This window comes from Homo sapiens, chromosome 3, assembly GCF_000001405.40.
Source record: "Homo sapiens chromosome 3, GRCh38.p14 Primary Assembly".
Classification (NCBI taxonomy): domain Eukaryota; kingdom Metazoa; phylum Chordata; class Mammalia; order Primates; family Hominidae; genus Homo; species Homo sapiens.
In genome coordinates this window covers 15,319,163-15,333,829 of record NC_000003.12, presented here as the reverse complement: position 1 = coordinate 15,333,829, position 14,667 = coordinate 15,319,163, and the positions used below count along the sequence as shown (strand labels likewise).

General features: G+C 47.2%; 1 protein-coding gene across 7 annotated transcripts in view, besides 3 other annotated features; it reads left to right on the top strand.

Annotated features, from left to right (window-relative positions):
* The window catches only part of SH3BP5 (SH3 domain binding protein 5), an 87,028-nt gene that overhangs the window by 7,551 nt on the left and 64,810 nt on the right, over positions 1 to 14,667 (top strand). For 2 of the 7 annotated variants that reach the window (XM_047449242.1, XM_011534251.3), the window contains exons 1-2: positions 563 to 742; positions 3,264 to 3,326. In XM_047449242.1, the coding sequence (XP_047305198.1) occupies positions 725 to 742; positions 3,264 to 3,326 (81 nt within the window). In that variant the 5' untranslated portion in view covers positions 563 to 724. Of the gene's footprint in view, positions 1 to 562; positions 842 to 1,243; positions 1,560 to 2,976; positions 3,131 to 3,263; positions 3,327 to 14,667 lie in introns of those variants that run through there. The other 5 variants (XM_047449241.1, NM_004844.5, XM_047449240.1 and 2 more) reach the window with 4 other exon arrangements.
* Positions 1,136 to 1,535: a silencer, noted in NCBI's record as "silent region_14104". NCBI's record gives its function as "represses an Ori minimal core promoter by ATAC-STARR-seq in GM12878 lymphoblastoid cells {active_cell/tissue: GM12878}" and the evidence as "EXISTENCE:reporter gene assay evidence [ECO:0000049][PMID:35858748]".
* Positions 1,616 to 1,675: a silencer, noted in NCBI's record as "silent region_14103". NCBI's record gives its function as "represses an Ori minimal core promoter by ATAC-STARR-seq in GM12878 lymphoblastoid cells {active_cell/tissue: GM12878}" and the evidence as "EXISTENCE:reporter gene assay evidence [ECO:0000049][PMID:35858748]".
* Positions 5,570 to 5,759: an enhancer, noted in NCBI's record as "active region_19530". NCBI's record gives its function as "activates an Ori minimal core promoter by ATAC-STARR-seq in GM12878 lymphoblastoid cells {active_cell/tissue: GM12878}" and the evidence as "EXISTENCE:reporter gene assay evidence [ECO:0000049][PMID:35858748]".

Genomic DNA, 14,667 nt, shown 5'->3' with positions numbered 1-14,667 from the left:
TGATTTAAAGAGCAATGAACAGGTCTGACCTTTTTAGAAACAAACCATGGCACTACCTCCAGGAGACAGGACAAATTTCCTTTGACAGTGGACTACAGTGCCAGCGTGTATGGGGTGGTGCCTTGCCCAAGGAGTAACCCTCTAGCCTAGTTTCTGATAAAACCACCAGGAGCAGGACTATTTATTCATTTGAGAAGGGGTCTGGCTGTATTGTCCAGGCTGGTGTTGAACTCCTGGCCTCAAGTGATCCTTGTGTCCTGGCATCTCAAAGAGCTGGGATTACAGATACGAGCCACCACGTTGTGCCAGACCCAGGTTTTGTAAGGTGGCTTTGATGATAGGTTCTCAGAAAGAAGCTCCTTTCTCAAGCAAATTTGTCCTCCAAACTCAGAGCCGATGGGCTACAGGCCTCCGTGTAGGACATGTGCACGTTCTGCATTTCTCAAGGCAAGGAGACGTGAGCAGCCATGTGCTCATCTGCTTTGCCAAGGTCATCCTTTGCGTTCCCCTGACATCACAGTGGCCCTGACATTTCATAAAAGCACACACACGTGCCTCTTCAGTTTGGCCTTTTCGGATGCTGTGTCTGCCAGGCCAACTCTGTCTCCCTACTTGTTGATGGTGGGCAGAAAGTCTCACTAATTCATAAATTCTTGGCCAGAGTGTGCCCATCAACAGGGGTTACACTTGCCACCTCCTTAAATCCCAGCTCAATGCATTCTCCATGCTCCTGGCTATTCAGGTAGGACCGCCGCACCTCTGTGTTTCGGTATGGGGCTCGCCCAGAGAGGCCGCAGCCTTCGGCAATGCATCAGTGCACGGAACCTCCGCCATTCCCAAGGTTCGCTCAAGAGGATGAGTGTGCTTTGGGTATAGGGTTTCGGCAAGTCTTGGTCCTGAGGGCCAGGGTCACTGAGCGTAGGCTTCAGAAGGCGACTTCAGTGTGAAAACACCCACGCCTCCCTACCACACAAACAACGAGCCTCGGAGGAGGGCTGGAGGAGGGGACTCCCGAAAGCGGGAGGCTTGCGTTACGTAGTTGAGATATATCCGAGCTGCTAAGTTACAAGGGGGTGGGGGCTGTCCTATTTTGCCACCTTGGAGATGTGGAGGGAGCTGGGGTTTTGCGACGGAGACCTGGATAGCTGGGACTGGCGGCGGAACGCGAGGCCGGGGCGGGACGGGGGCGGAGCGGGCGCTGCGCTGACTGCCGCGGCAGAAAGGGGGCGGCCGCGCCCATTTCCTCTGCTCCGCCGCGGCCGGAGGTATCCGCATCGGCGAGCTGCGTCTCCCGGGTGTCGGCCCCGGCGGCTCCCCGACCGTGCCCGGCTGTGGCGAGGCGGCTCCAGCCCAGCCTGTGGCAGCCGCGACCCCCGGGGCGCTCCGGAGCCCACTGCGCGGCGCGCGTGCCGGCTGCCTGCATGGACGCGGCACTGAAGCGGAGCCGCTCGGAGGAGCCAGCCGAAATCCTGCCGCCTGCCCGGGACGAGGAGGAGGAGGAGGAAGAGGGGATGGAGCAGGGGCTGGAGGAGGAAGAAGAGGTGGATCCCCGGATCCAGGTAGGGCGCGCGGGGTCGCCCCGCATCCGGGCTTCGCGAGGGCTGCTACGGAGGTCGGTGTCTACGCGTACAGCCACTTCGCAGCCCCCAGTAACTGTGGTCCGGGGACTGGCGGCCACATAGGGTGGCAGGAGACGGTCTGTATGCTCCGTTTCATCGTCTCCACAATGAGGAGGCTACAGTGCCCGCGTGGATGCGGCCTGACTCTATTGCGGGGAGTCCCCCGCCGACCCGTAGCAGGATCGGGGTCGGTGCAGCGTGCCTGGTGGTTCGGGTGGATGTGCAACAAAGGGAAAAAGGGGGCGGGGGCGCCATGGTATCCTCGGGGGTACCCCTGCCCGGCCGCGGCACCGCGGGCATGGCACGGCGTCCAGGCTCTGCGAGGAGGTGTCGCCCGCGTGGGCGCCGGGCACCGTGGGCGGGTGGGCGTTGCCCTGCAGCGCGGGCTGGCACCGGTGCCCCGGGTGCAGAGTCCTCACTTGCCAAGGTGCCCGGCCTGAGCCGTTTTCCTTCTCTGATTGATTGTTAGCGAACTGAGCGGCTTATTGTCATCACTGGCTCAACGTTCTGCCTGGCTTGAAATTGCTTAAAACCCTGCTTTTCCTTGTTGTGAGGTTGGGCATGAAAAGAAATCGGGGACAACTGATGCGCAAAGCTGACGCGTGGAGGCGGCGAGGGGATTGGGCTGGCTGGCTGTGCCTCCATTTCCAAGAGAGATGATTAAAAAACAATTTCCAAGCCGAGATCTAGGAGTGACAGTTTCACCTCTTCACCCCTAAGCAAAAAGCAGAGCAAATCCCTTTCTAAGGCCCGTTTTTTTTCTACCTTTTCAATAAATCATTTTTTTAAAAAAATTGCTTTTAAGCATGCTCTGTAATTTCTGGATACCTAATTGGTTTTTTAGTGCACAGATCAATTTAAAAGCTCACTTAACTCAGTGGTTGGGGTTTAAATGAATTGTTTTGTCAGCTTAGCAAGATAAAGATCAGGTGGAAAAAAAATCCTTGCATTAGGAATGCTATTAATTAAAGTAATTGGTTTGGAATAAATCGTGTGTTACTGGTATGGGATTATGTTAGCAAGATCCTTTGTTTGCATAGTAATGATGAGTTAAGTTCATGTTGGATACTTTTTTTACAAAATGTCAGTTTGTAAATGTTTATTGAAAGGAATGGGATTAAAGCTAGTTTAAAACGTCCAGCTAAGTAGGTTGAATAATTGGCAGTGTGAAAAGATTTTCACCCTTTACAGAAAAATAATTCTGGTGAGTTAATACCAGAATTCTGCCCTTGATGATTTCACTGGGTTTATATTTTTGGCTTGGCCTTGCTTATTGTCTTTTATTGTTTTCTAAGCAAAGTTCTTGCTCAAGGCAGATGGTACTGTTTTGATTAGGCCATTAAACCATTTGTAACAGGTGGGGTTTACCTGAAGGCATGTACCTGGAATAGTTGACCTCTGACAAATTCCAAATGTCTCTGAAGACATTGTCAAAAGGGACACCCTCAAGAAAATGGTTTCAGAAATGCCGACATTCATTTGCTTTTCTAGTCAAGCCTCAACTGTTTGCCGTAAGAATTAATTCTGATTCTTCCCTTTTCCTGCAAATTGGGCTGGGGTAATTTTTCAGGTTATGGACTGAGTTATATTGGAAACAAAAGACGGATCCCTTAAGTCTTTTTTTCTCCCTCTTTTCTTCACCAGGGAGAACTGGAGAAGTTAAATCAGTCCACGGATGATATCAACAGACGGGAGACTGAACTTGAGGTACAGAGAGCTGAGTTCCTGTTCTTGGTGAAGTGATGTCACTCACACCGGCACAAGGCTGGTTAATTTTGTCTTCATAGCTGGAGTGTTATTGCTGGACCCCCCTCCTTGGGAGTTGAGCAACAGCTCCCTGACAGAATAAAATACACCACTGAGCTCAACCTGTGGGCGGAACGCATGTGGATCCAATTGCACATGTTGTTTTTCATTATGGAAGCTCCATGGGGCCTAAACCAAGTCTGTGCAGAGCGTTACACAACGCTTAAGCCCCAAGTTTTAATGTGACTGAAAGGACAGGGGAAAATTAGCCGAACTCTTTAATGGAGAATAATGAATGAGCTCACAAAATCTCTTACATATTCAGGGCAGTTCCTGCCATTTGTCCTGGAGAGTGTTGTGTTGTTTCCTCTGACTTCGACCATTTCTTGACTTTCCTGTCCTAATAACTCACCCCCCGCCTCCTTCTGCTTCCCTGCTCATTTCTTTATTGTCTGCTAGTGCATAGAATATAATTATAATGGTAACAAAAAGCTGTTTAGACTGGGAAGGCCTTTCCTGCTGGGAAAAATCTTGGGAGACTAAAACTTGATTTGGGTTTCATGTGCATTTTCCAATGGGAGTGTAAACAAGTTAGCATTCATCACAGCCTCCGATTAGTTCCCACCCCTTTCCAGTAGTGGTTGCTTTTACCACCCATCAGCAAATTTGAACAACCACTATATGTATTCAGGAGACTGTGAATTGACTGTCAGAACCCCAAAGGGACTCTCAGCGCAGTTTCCCAATGCAGGGAGCTGTTGGCAAAGTCTGTTTCTGTAGCAGGAGAAATAGCAAACGTCAGTGGAAGGGACAAGAAGCACATGGTCCCTAAGAGTGAGAGTGTGGGAGATAGGAATATAATCTACCAGGATTCACTGGCAGCCTTGATTTCTGCTGCGTGCGTAGGCCCTGGAGTTACCAAATCTGGATGCAGCAATGTGGATGAAAAAGCCTGTTGCTCTGAGTTGCGTGAAGGGTTATCGCTAACCACCTCCATTTCCATCGTAGGTATACAAGAGCATGGGCTGTCCTTCTCCCCAAGTAAAGTAAAATCTGTGTTTGTTTACATTTCTTTCACTTATGAATTGAGTCTGTCTGTGATGTGGGGTAACTGAAACCTCTCAGGATCTCAGATTTCTAATGCATTAAACAACAAAACTCTTACCATTCCTATAGGGCTTTAGCATTTCCAGAGTGTTTTTTACACGTTTTAGCTCATTCCATCCTGTCACACCAGCCTAGAGCTATGCTGTCCCATATGGTAGCCATGTGCAACGTATGGCTATTTGAATTTAATTAAAATTTTTTTTTTTTTGAGACAGAGTCTTACTCTGTCGCCCAGGCTGGGGTGCAGTGGTGTGATGTCTGCTCACTGCAACTTCCACCTCCTGGGCTCAAGTGATTCTCATTCCTCAGCTTCCTGAGTAGCTGGGATTACAGGTGTGCACCACCATGCCTGGCTAATGAGTTTAATTAAAATTAAGTAAGACTAAAAATTCCATTTCTCAGTCACAATAGCCACGTTTCAAGAGCCCAGTTGCCACTATATTAAACAGTCCAGTTGCCACTGTATTAAACTGCTGTCATCATAGAATGTTCTGGCCTGGAGAGCTAGGAGGGTAGGGACTATTTACTTTCCAGATCAGGACTCAGAGGCTCAGCATCTTCTGGTACTATGACGCCTCAGAGGCAGGGCTCCCATCTTATACTCCCAGGCATTTTCCAGATCTCCTCCAGTTCCTGCATTCTATTATCCCAGTGCAGTGGTGCAATCACAGCTCACTGCAACCTCAAACTCCTGGGTTCAGGCAACCCTCCTGCATCATCCTCCCCAGTAGCTGAGACTACAGGTGCATGCCACCATACCTGGCTAATTTTTCATATCTTTAAGCTTTTTTGTAAAGATGGGATCTAGCTCTGTTGACCAGGCTGGTCTTGAACTCCAGGCCTCAAAGTGATCCTCCCACCTTGGCCTCCCAAAGTGCTGGGATCACAGGCATGAGTTGCCATACCCATCCTGGAAATAGTCTTTTTTTTTTTTTTTTAAAAGCATTGATTGATTCTAGTTGCTCGCCTACTATGTGCCGGCCACTGTTCTGGGTAATGAACAAGATGGCCCACATCTCAGCCCCAAGTGTGCTTACTTTCTTGGGGTGAAATTGGTTAATCTGTTAAACTCTTTTTAGCCCTTACTTCTGAATCCCATTTCTGAATACACTTAGGTATTTGTGTGTCACAGGAAGCCACCAGACAGGTGTTTCCTGCCTGGCTCTGGAGAGCATTTGGAACCGTGTGAGAGGCGAACTGGAGGGTGTGAGGGGGGTGGCCAGGGCTGGGCTGGGTTGCTGGCTGGCCTTTTCACGGTATTATAACCAAGACTGACTCATAGAAATATAATACAGGCTACATAAGCAATTAAAAACTCCCTAGTAGACGCATTAAAAACGAAAAAGAAACAGCTGAAATGAATTTAAATATTTTGTTTAACCCGGAATATCCAAGACAGTACAATTTCAACGTGGACTTGCTATTAAAAAATTACTGATATTTTACATATATTTTTGTACTAAGTCTTTAAGATCTTTGGCATATTTTACACTTAGGGCACATTTCAGTTGAGACTAGACACGTTTCAAGTGTTAGCTACATTTGGCACTGGGAGGCATAGGTTTAATAGGTGTTTTCTGTCACAAAGGAGCCAGGTGGGATTTCACCCTTCATGCTGGGCACCAACTGCTTGTCAGACACTGTTGGCCACTGCATTTATGTGGGTGAACAAGACAAAGACCTTGCCCTCCAGGAGTTTACGTTTTTGGTTGGGGTGAGTAGCAGAGCGGGGGTAATAATTACTGGTGGTAATAGCTACAGTAAGAAGTGTGACAGAGACACTGGAGGGGCGCTGCTGGAGGACACCTGAGCAGATGCCTGCAGGGGAGCCTCTGTTTGCAGAAGAACAGGTGGAGTGAGCCACTGGGGTGGTCAAGGGGAGTATGCCCAAGGATGGGGGCAGGAAAATGAGCCATTTTAATATACAGTCAAGTGTTTTGTTTTGTTTTTTTTTTCCTGAGACGGAGTCTCACGCTGTCGCCCAGGCTGGAGTGCAATGGCGTGATCTCGGCTCACTGCAACCTCTGCCTCCCGGGTTCAAGCCAGTCTCCTGCCTCAGCCTCCCGAGTAGCTGGGATTACAGGCGTGCGCCACCATGCCTGGCTAATTTTTGTATTTTTAGTAGAGATGGGGTTTCACCATGTTGGCCAGGCTGGTCTCGAACTGGCTGGTCTTGAACTCCGGATCTCGTGTCGTCGCTACCCCCCTCCCCACCGCCACTGCTGTCTCAGCCTCCCAAAGTGCTGGGATTACAGGTGTGAGCCACCGTGCCCAGTCTTGTTTTTGTGGTACTTGTATTCCATAAAGTTGTGAACACTGAATTAGTGAATACGGAACCATTGTTGTAGGGAAAATGCAGGGCTTGGAGCAAGCCTGTGGTCACATTTTCATCAACTGATCAATATTAATCTTTTCAGTTTCCATTAAAAGACACTTTATTTACTATATACTATTGATTCATTAGCATTGAACTCAGGGCCACTCACCTAACATGTATTTGCTCTGTAAGCCACATCACAGCCTGCTCGTGCTCAGGAAAGCTCACTAGACAGCACTTCTGCACTTCCCTTATGGGCCATTTTAACAGCAAAATCACCAAAGAAAGCACAAAAGTGTGAAAGACATGGCACTAAGTAGACCATGAAAAGGACACTTGTTTACAGGATGGGCACTGAAAGCAGGAGGCAGAACGTCGCTCCTGTGTATGTCGGTGAATGAACCTGAAAGGGCTGCGTGTATTGATTTTGGGGTTACATATAAATTTTAGCGAGTAGACGAATTCACAAGTATGGAATTGGCAAATAATGAGATAGTCTACTTTCAGGGCCCCCAGGGGAAGGTATTCTGCTGTCCACATTTCCTTTCCCATTGCCTTTTGATTGCGATCTGGGGCGTTCGGCACCTCTCGTGATTTTTGTCTGATGAACCTGAATTGGTGACCAGGCTTCTGGTAGCTGCTAACGTGCTCTCACGCTGTGGTGCAGTTGTCTGTGGGTAGCTGGAGACTGAGGTGTTGCTCCTGAGGCCCACATTTAACATCCCATTTCTTGTCTTGGCCATTTAAATTCCAGATTGCAAAAGGGCCTCTGGATGCCAGCCATCTGCCGTGTCACTTGGATGTCTGTCTCTTCCTGCAACCTGGGTTTGCCTCTGACCTTATTTGAACAGTGCTGGGTCCCCTTTGCATGCTGATTTATATCAGCAAAAGCCAACCTTTTCAAGCTGTAAAAGGAGGAACCTTTTAACCAGAGAGCCCTTGGATATAAGCCTGATGTTTTAAGTTAGGAAAATAAGCATTTTCCCACAGATCCATTGATCAGTCAGCTTTATTTATTTATTGAGACAGGGTCTTGCTCTGTCACTCAGGCTGGAGTGCAGTGTCACAATCTCGGCTCACTGCAGCCTCAGCCTCCCGGGTTCAAGCGATTCTCCAGCTTCAGCCTCCCAAGTAGCCAGGACCAAAGGCTCACACCACCACGCTGGCTAATTTTTGTATTTTTAGGAAAGATGGGTTTTGCAATGTTGGCCAGGCCGGTTTCAAACTCTGGAGCTGAGAGCGATCTGCCTCCCTTGGCCTCACAAAATGCTGGGATTACAGGTGTGAGCCACTGCGCCTGACCAGCTTTTTAATTCACTAAGTATTTATTGAGCACCTACTACGTGATGGGGGCAATTTTCGGTGATGGGGACAGAGCAGTGAAGAGAATGGACAGAAGTCCCTGCTTTTCTGAGGCTTACATTGCAGAGGGGGTGGAAAACGCAATAAAAAGTTAAAATACACATGGTAGGTTATCTGATGTATACAAAGGAGGCAAAGAGCTGGAAGGGGACTCAGCTGGTGGGTGTTTGGAGGCAAGGGGAGGGAGAGGAATGCAGTATTGTCTGGAGAGAGTGAGCAAGCCTCAGGCCATGTGGGGGAAGAACATTCCAGCTGGAGGGCGCATCAGGGCTAAGCCTGGCTTAGCTGAGGGCCAGCAAGGGGGCCTTGTGCCAGGCATGGGCGAGTAATGGATGGAAGAGGAGGCAGTGAGTCAGAGATAAATGGGTCATTCAGGTGTGCGACAGCCCTGCTAGGTGAGATAGTAAAACTCAATATGCTGATGTAATTTTTAAATGCCTATTTTATAGGTCTGTCTCTTTTCAAATGTTTGTTAAAACAGAAGCCACACTGAGAATTTCTAAGTCTAATCAGAATAAAGATTTGTAATATTTTATGCCCATGTTTATGTGGTTTTAAGCACAATTTGTAATGTTTTCATCATTTCCCGTGCTTGCTCTGAAAGTGGGCTGTTCCAGGGCTGTGAAGGGGTCCGTCCTTTTCCTCATTGCTCAGGTCAGGTGGGAATAGTTTCTGCTTATACTTGCAGGGTGGTTTGAAAAATCTTTGTTTCTGAGTATCTGTGTTCCTCAAACATGCTTAAGCCAGCACTCATTATCTCTGCCTTTCCTCCCTCTGAAAACCAGCAAATGTTTTCTCTTAAAACTTTTTTTTTTTTTTTTTGGACCCAAGGAGCAATGGTACAAACAAAAACTCTGTTTTGAGCTTAGAAACTTGGAGGTGAGAGTAAACTGGAAGCTGCCCGGCCCCTCCCTCATGAATTATTAGCACAAATCAGGAGAAAAATTCCTCTATCAAAGGACAGTGATACGTCCCAGCACTTTCTCCATTAAAACGTGTGGGTGGAATGCACTAGGGACTAGGTCCTGTAAGACTCAGTTGTGCTTCGAAGAAACTGCTAGGGAATGTTTGAAGCATAGATAGACCGGGGGAGGGAGGAGTAACTGTTTCTTGAAGCTGCACCAGATTCCAGGCCTGGTGGCAGGCTGCCCGGTCTAAGCTGGCAGAGCCCCTACACCCCTGACCTTCTTGTACACAGGTGAGATCTGGTTGAAGTAAACATTGGCCTGGAGGCCTTCCTGCAGCAAATCCTGTGTGGGGCACTGGGGACCAGGGTGGTCAACAAATAATCAGGCACGTCCCTGCCTCATGGAGCTTGCCGTCTCCTGGATTCAAGCAAGCAATTGTAGTGGGGTGAGGGGGATTCTAGGAGAGTCACTCAGGGCCCTTTGAGAGGCCAAAGCTTTGTTGAAATAGGGGGCATCAGAGTTGAGGCCTGCAGACCCCAGATAGTCTGAAGAGATAACATCAGCCTTAAAGTGGAGGAGGAAGAGAGCTGACGGTACAGACATTGTCTGCAGGTTGAGGAAGGTTGGGGTGGGGAGAGGTGGAGTGTTAACAGGACCTTTGGTGATTGGTTGATTATAAAGAAAAAACACATGTGTGGTCTTTGCGTCTCTTCAGGGTAGCCTGAGCCAGGGCTGCTGCACTGCCCCCATAGCTCTGACTTGAAGTTTGGCCATCAGAATGGTGGTACTGAAGGCCTTGGGCTTCAGTGGTCCCCCCATACTGCTTATTTCCCTTTGGGGAAGTAGGTGAGTGGAGAAACATTTGAAACTTGTAGAGTGACTTAGCTATAGGACAGCCGGCAAAGCTTGGCCTCTGGAGCCAGACCGCCTGGCATTGAATCCCAGCTCCCTCTTCATAGCTGTGGGACCTCTGGCAGATTATGTAATTTCTGTGCCTCAATTTCTTCTTCTTTAAAATGGGATTGTGTCTCAGTTTTTGCTGTGAAATAACCAAAACCCAAAGCCGTGGGGAAGGGCAGGTGGAGGGAAGACAGCTGTCTTGACATCAGGTGATACAGGCTGAAATCAGAGGTCTGCTGACTTCTAGGGATACTTGGCACATGGAAGCCTCAGTCTCTTTGTCTTTGAATCTGGGGGCTGCAATTCTTGCCTACATCCCTGGGTAGCCTGGAGGATGGTAAGGGATGCTGTGTGAGAGAGTGCTTTGAGAGCTGCCCAGCCTGAGTGGACAAGAGGGCCCCCTGTGTGCTTGGCTGGCAGGGAGGGCTGAGACCCGCTGGGCGCTGCAAACAGAGAAGGTTCCAATGAGATGTCCACTGGGGCCAAACTGGCCATGGGGCCTGGCAGTGGCTCTGTTGTTCTCTTCCCCCAGGTCCTGCCATGACCTTTCTTTGTCAGATTGGCACTGGGAAGGGGGTCAGAGGGAGGGCTCATACAGGCCAGGATTACAGCGGGATGGACTTTGTAGTCACTGGATCAGCAGGGCGTTGCGCTGTGGCCTGCCTGCTGTAATGTGAAAATTAGTTTCCCTGAGTGAGCCCTGCTTTATTTATTTATTTATTTATTTATTTATTTATTTATTTGAGACAGGGTCTCAAAAACCGGAGTGCAATGATGTGATCTCTGCCACTGCAACCACTGCCTCCCAGGTTCAAGCGATTTTCGTGCCTTAGCCTCCCGAGTAGCTGGGATTACAGGCATGTGCCACCACACCCGGCTAATTTTTGTGTTTTTGGTAGAGACCGGGTTTTGCCATGTTGGTCAGGCTGGTCAACTCCTGACCTCAAATGATTCGCCTACTGCAGCCTCCCAAAGTGCTAGTATTACAGGCGTGAGCTACTGCGCCCGGCCTCCCGCTTTGTTTTTGTTTTTTCCTGAGACAGTGTTGGTCTCTGTTGCCCAGGGTAGGGTGCAGTGGCACAATCATAGCTCCCTGGAGCCTCGAACTCCTGGGCTCAAGTGATCCTCCCACCTCAGTCTCCCAAGTAGCTGGGACTACAGGAGTGCGCCACCACGCCTGGCTAATTTTTGTTTTTGTAGAGATGGGGTCTCTCCTTGTTGCCCAGGCTGGTCTCAAACTCCTGGGCTCAAGCAGTCCTCCTGCCTCGGCTTCCCAAAGTGTTGGGATTACAGGCATGAGCCGCCACACCCGGCCTCCCAGGCTGTTCTTGGACAGACTGACCGTGAGGACAGTTGTGACACTGGTAAAACACAACCTTGTGTTCTCCTTTCCCTCCCCAGAACCTGTCCACTTAGGCACATGTTGGCTCATGAACATGTAAGATTCTGCCTTGCTTGGGGGCGTTAGCATTTTAAGAGTGGCCTTTCACTTTAAAAAAAGATGATGTGTGGATATGGACAAATGGCCATGGTCTACTTAGTGGGGGAAAAAAAACTATACATAAAATATATATAAAACTATATAGAGCATATCTAGAACCATATATATAGTAAAAGAATATATGCATATGAGAAGACAGGCCTAACATAGTTATTATTTTTTTTTTTGAGATGGAGTCTCACTGTGTTGCCCAGGCTGGACTGCAGTGGCATGATCTTGGCTCATTGCAACCTCCACCTCCCAGGTTCAAGCGATTCTCCTGCCTCAGCCTCCCAAGTAGCTGGATTACAGGAGCCCACCACCATGCCTGGCTAATTTTTGTATTTTAGTAGAGACGGGGTTTCACTATGTAGGTCAAGCTGATCTCGAACTCCCGACCTCAAATGATCCACCTGCCTTGGCCTCCCAAAGTACTGGGATTATAGGCATGAGCCACCGTGCCTGGCCCTAACATAGTTATTCTTGTGTGGGCCAAAGAATGTGAACTGCTTGTTACCAGTTATGGTGAAGTAAATACAGAAATTGAGAGTAAGACTTTAGATTTTTTTTTTTTTTTTGGCAATTTGATGTTGTGACATCCAGGTGGCATTTTACTTTCCTAGTTTGTTTTTATTCTACAGAAATATTGATTTACGGTGGATTGGATGGGAGAAGATCCATCACCACATTGTTTGAGAAGCCTGGCTCTAGAAAAATGTACCCTCAGATGTTACCAGTTGTTGCTAGCTGCTGAGGATGCTGGTGATTTTTAGTTTTCATTTCTTGGTGTTTTCTGAAATATTTACAATGACCATCTGTTATAATTTTCATGGGATGGGGGTGGGGAATGAAGTCTGTTGTAAAAAAAAAAAAAAGTCTTTATAAGCCAAATAAATGAATTTCTCTGGAAGGAATTTTAGGAACTATGAAGGCTGATGGGAAAAACCTTGGATTGGTTGTTCCTGCCTTAATTGTAGATAAAACCTGATGTTGTGGGTTTGCTTGATGAATTAGTGTATTGTTAAGCTACTCTAGTTGTAATTCATGGAAGGATGAAAAGTGCTATAAAGGCACTTTAGGATCTTCTACAGCCAAGAAACCGTCATATATATGCTTATTTAGAAAATACAATAAATCAAGATATAATGGAAAACATTCCAAATATTAAGAATATTTAGATATTTGAACTTAGTTACTCTGTGTATTTGACTGTTAGCATCATTTCTAAATCAATAAATGTGGGCACGTATAGGTTCTTGCACAACTTCATTCATGGTAACCACATTAGCAAAATGCTATTAGTGGCCAAAACATGTTCTGGCCATTGGCTAGAACATAGAAATAGCTGTCTAATATTGACATGGACTGTATTGCCTTAAAAAATCCTAGGCGTTTCTTCCTTTTAAGCTACAAATATCAACAAGATAATATACAAACTCTTCTGGCCCCTCAGCTGAAACCCATGGCAGGATCATAAGTGCTTGCTATTGCAGTACACGCCGACTTTCCTACAAATCATGTGACTGTATCCCCAGCTGTATTCAAGGTGCCTACCCTGTGACTCTGAGGTGTCATCTCAAAAGAAGACAGGCTATGGGGGTTGATGGATTCATTGCTATCCCTGTGGTTAATGAGAATCTTCAAATCCCCAGGTTGACAGAGATGTGGTCCCTGTGGACTGTAGCCTTTTAATTTTGAGCTGTTATTTTTCTTTGTCAGCATTTGTTGTAGGGACTTTAACGTAGTGGGGTGTGTGTGTGTGTGTGTGTGTGTGTGTGTGTGTGTTTTGGCTGGATGAATTAAACCTCTATTGAACCTCATCCTTTGGCAGGCAGCCCAGGTAACTTTGCCCAGCCCTTCTCTTTGAGAGTTACTTAGTCTGCCGATTGCCACATAGATGTTTCCAACATTAAAGACTATACTGCTTTTTTGTAGTGCATTTTAACCAAGAGTATCACAGAATTTGCAAAGCAGCTCTTGGAGAGCTCAGCAAGTCAGCCTCTTTCATTTCCTTAAAGGAAGATGGAAAAAATTTTGTTCTATTCTTGCCTGATTTTTTTTTCCTTTGCTGTGTTTTGCTGGATTATCTAAGAGATGTTAATGTTTGCTCTAACAGAAAGAAACTGCTATCAGGGAGACAATGAGAGGAATATCCGCTGTTTATTATAACTGCAGCCCAGCCCTCTTAATATAAATCTTTTATTGTTTGGCATTAAACCCAACCAAAGCATGATGAATGGGATTTGGTTGTCTTCATTCACCACACCCTTTTGTTTCCAGCATGCAAAGGGATTCAGCTTCATTTTGCTAGATTTGAAGTGCACAGATTTAATGTTCTCTTACTTGATTTTTGGCTTTATTGGAAGAAGAAAGGGGGTGTTTTTCTTCTTCATTGTTCTGGTTACTGTTTCTCCCTAACAAATTATCCCAAGCCGTAATAGCTTAAAACAACTGTTCTATTTTGCCTATGATTTGTGGGTCAGGAATTTGGAGAGGGTTTTGAGAGGGCTCAGCTGGGCGGTCCTTGCTTGAGGAGTTTTATGCAGTCAGATGTCAGCCTGGTTGTAGTCCTTGAGGGCTTGGTTGGACGTCAGAGATGGCCTACTCTTGTGTCTGACAGAGGATGCTGGCTCTGAAAGCTTATGCTGGGAGCTCAGCTGGAGTTGCAACCAGAGTGCCTACGTGTGACCTTTCTAGTGTGGTACTTTTGCTTCCTTTTGGTTTCTGGCTCCTTCCAGAGTGAGTGTCCTAAGATGACCAGGTGGAAGCTTCCTGGCTTTTTCTGACTAAGCCTTGAAACCTTCAGAGCAGCTCTTCTATTATAATCTGTTGGTCCAAGCAGTCATGAGCCCACCTGCATTCTAATTCTTCTTGATCCTGGGGCAGTGCCAAAGAATTGTAGGCCATATTTGAAAACTGCAACCCTCATGGTGATGTAGAGACAGTGGCTTATTTTGAGGCCCATAGGACATATACTTTCTTCCTTTCCTCCCTTCCTTTCTGTGGGGAGACTTCATAAACAACCACATTTTAGTGTCTTCTTGAGGTGCTTTAATGGTTAACCAGCCAGCAAAGCAAGGACTTTGGTTAGTATTCCCAGTGACCTTAAATAAACCAGCAACGATAAAGGCAAGATGGACAGTTTTTAGCAATGCTGTGGGCCTTGCCATAGGGAATTCTTCGCCACTTTGCCCATTTCTTAAAAATTTTGTCTGAGAAAAAAATTAT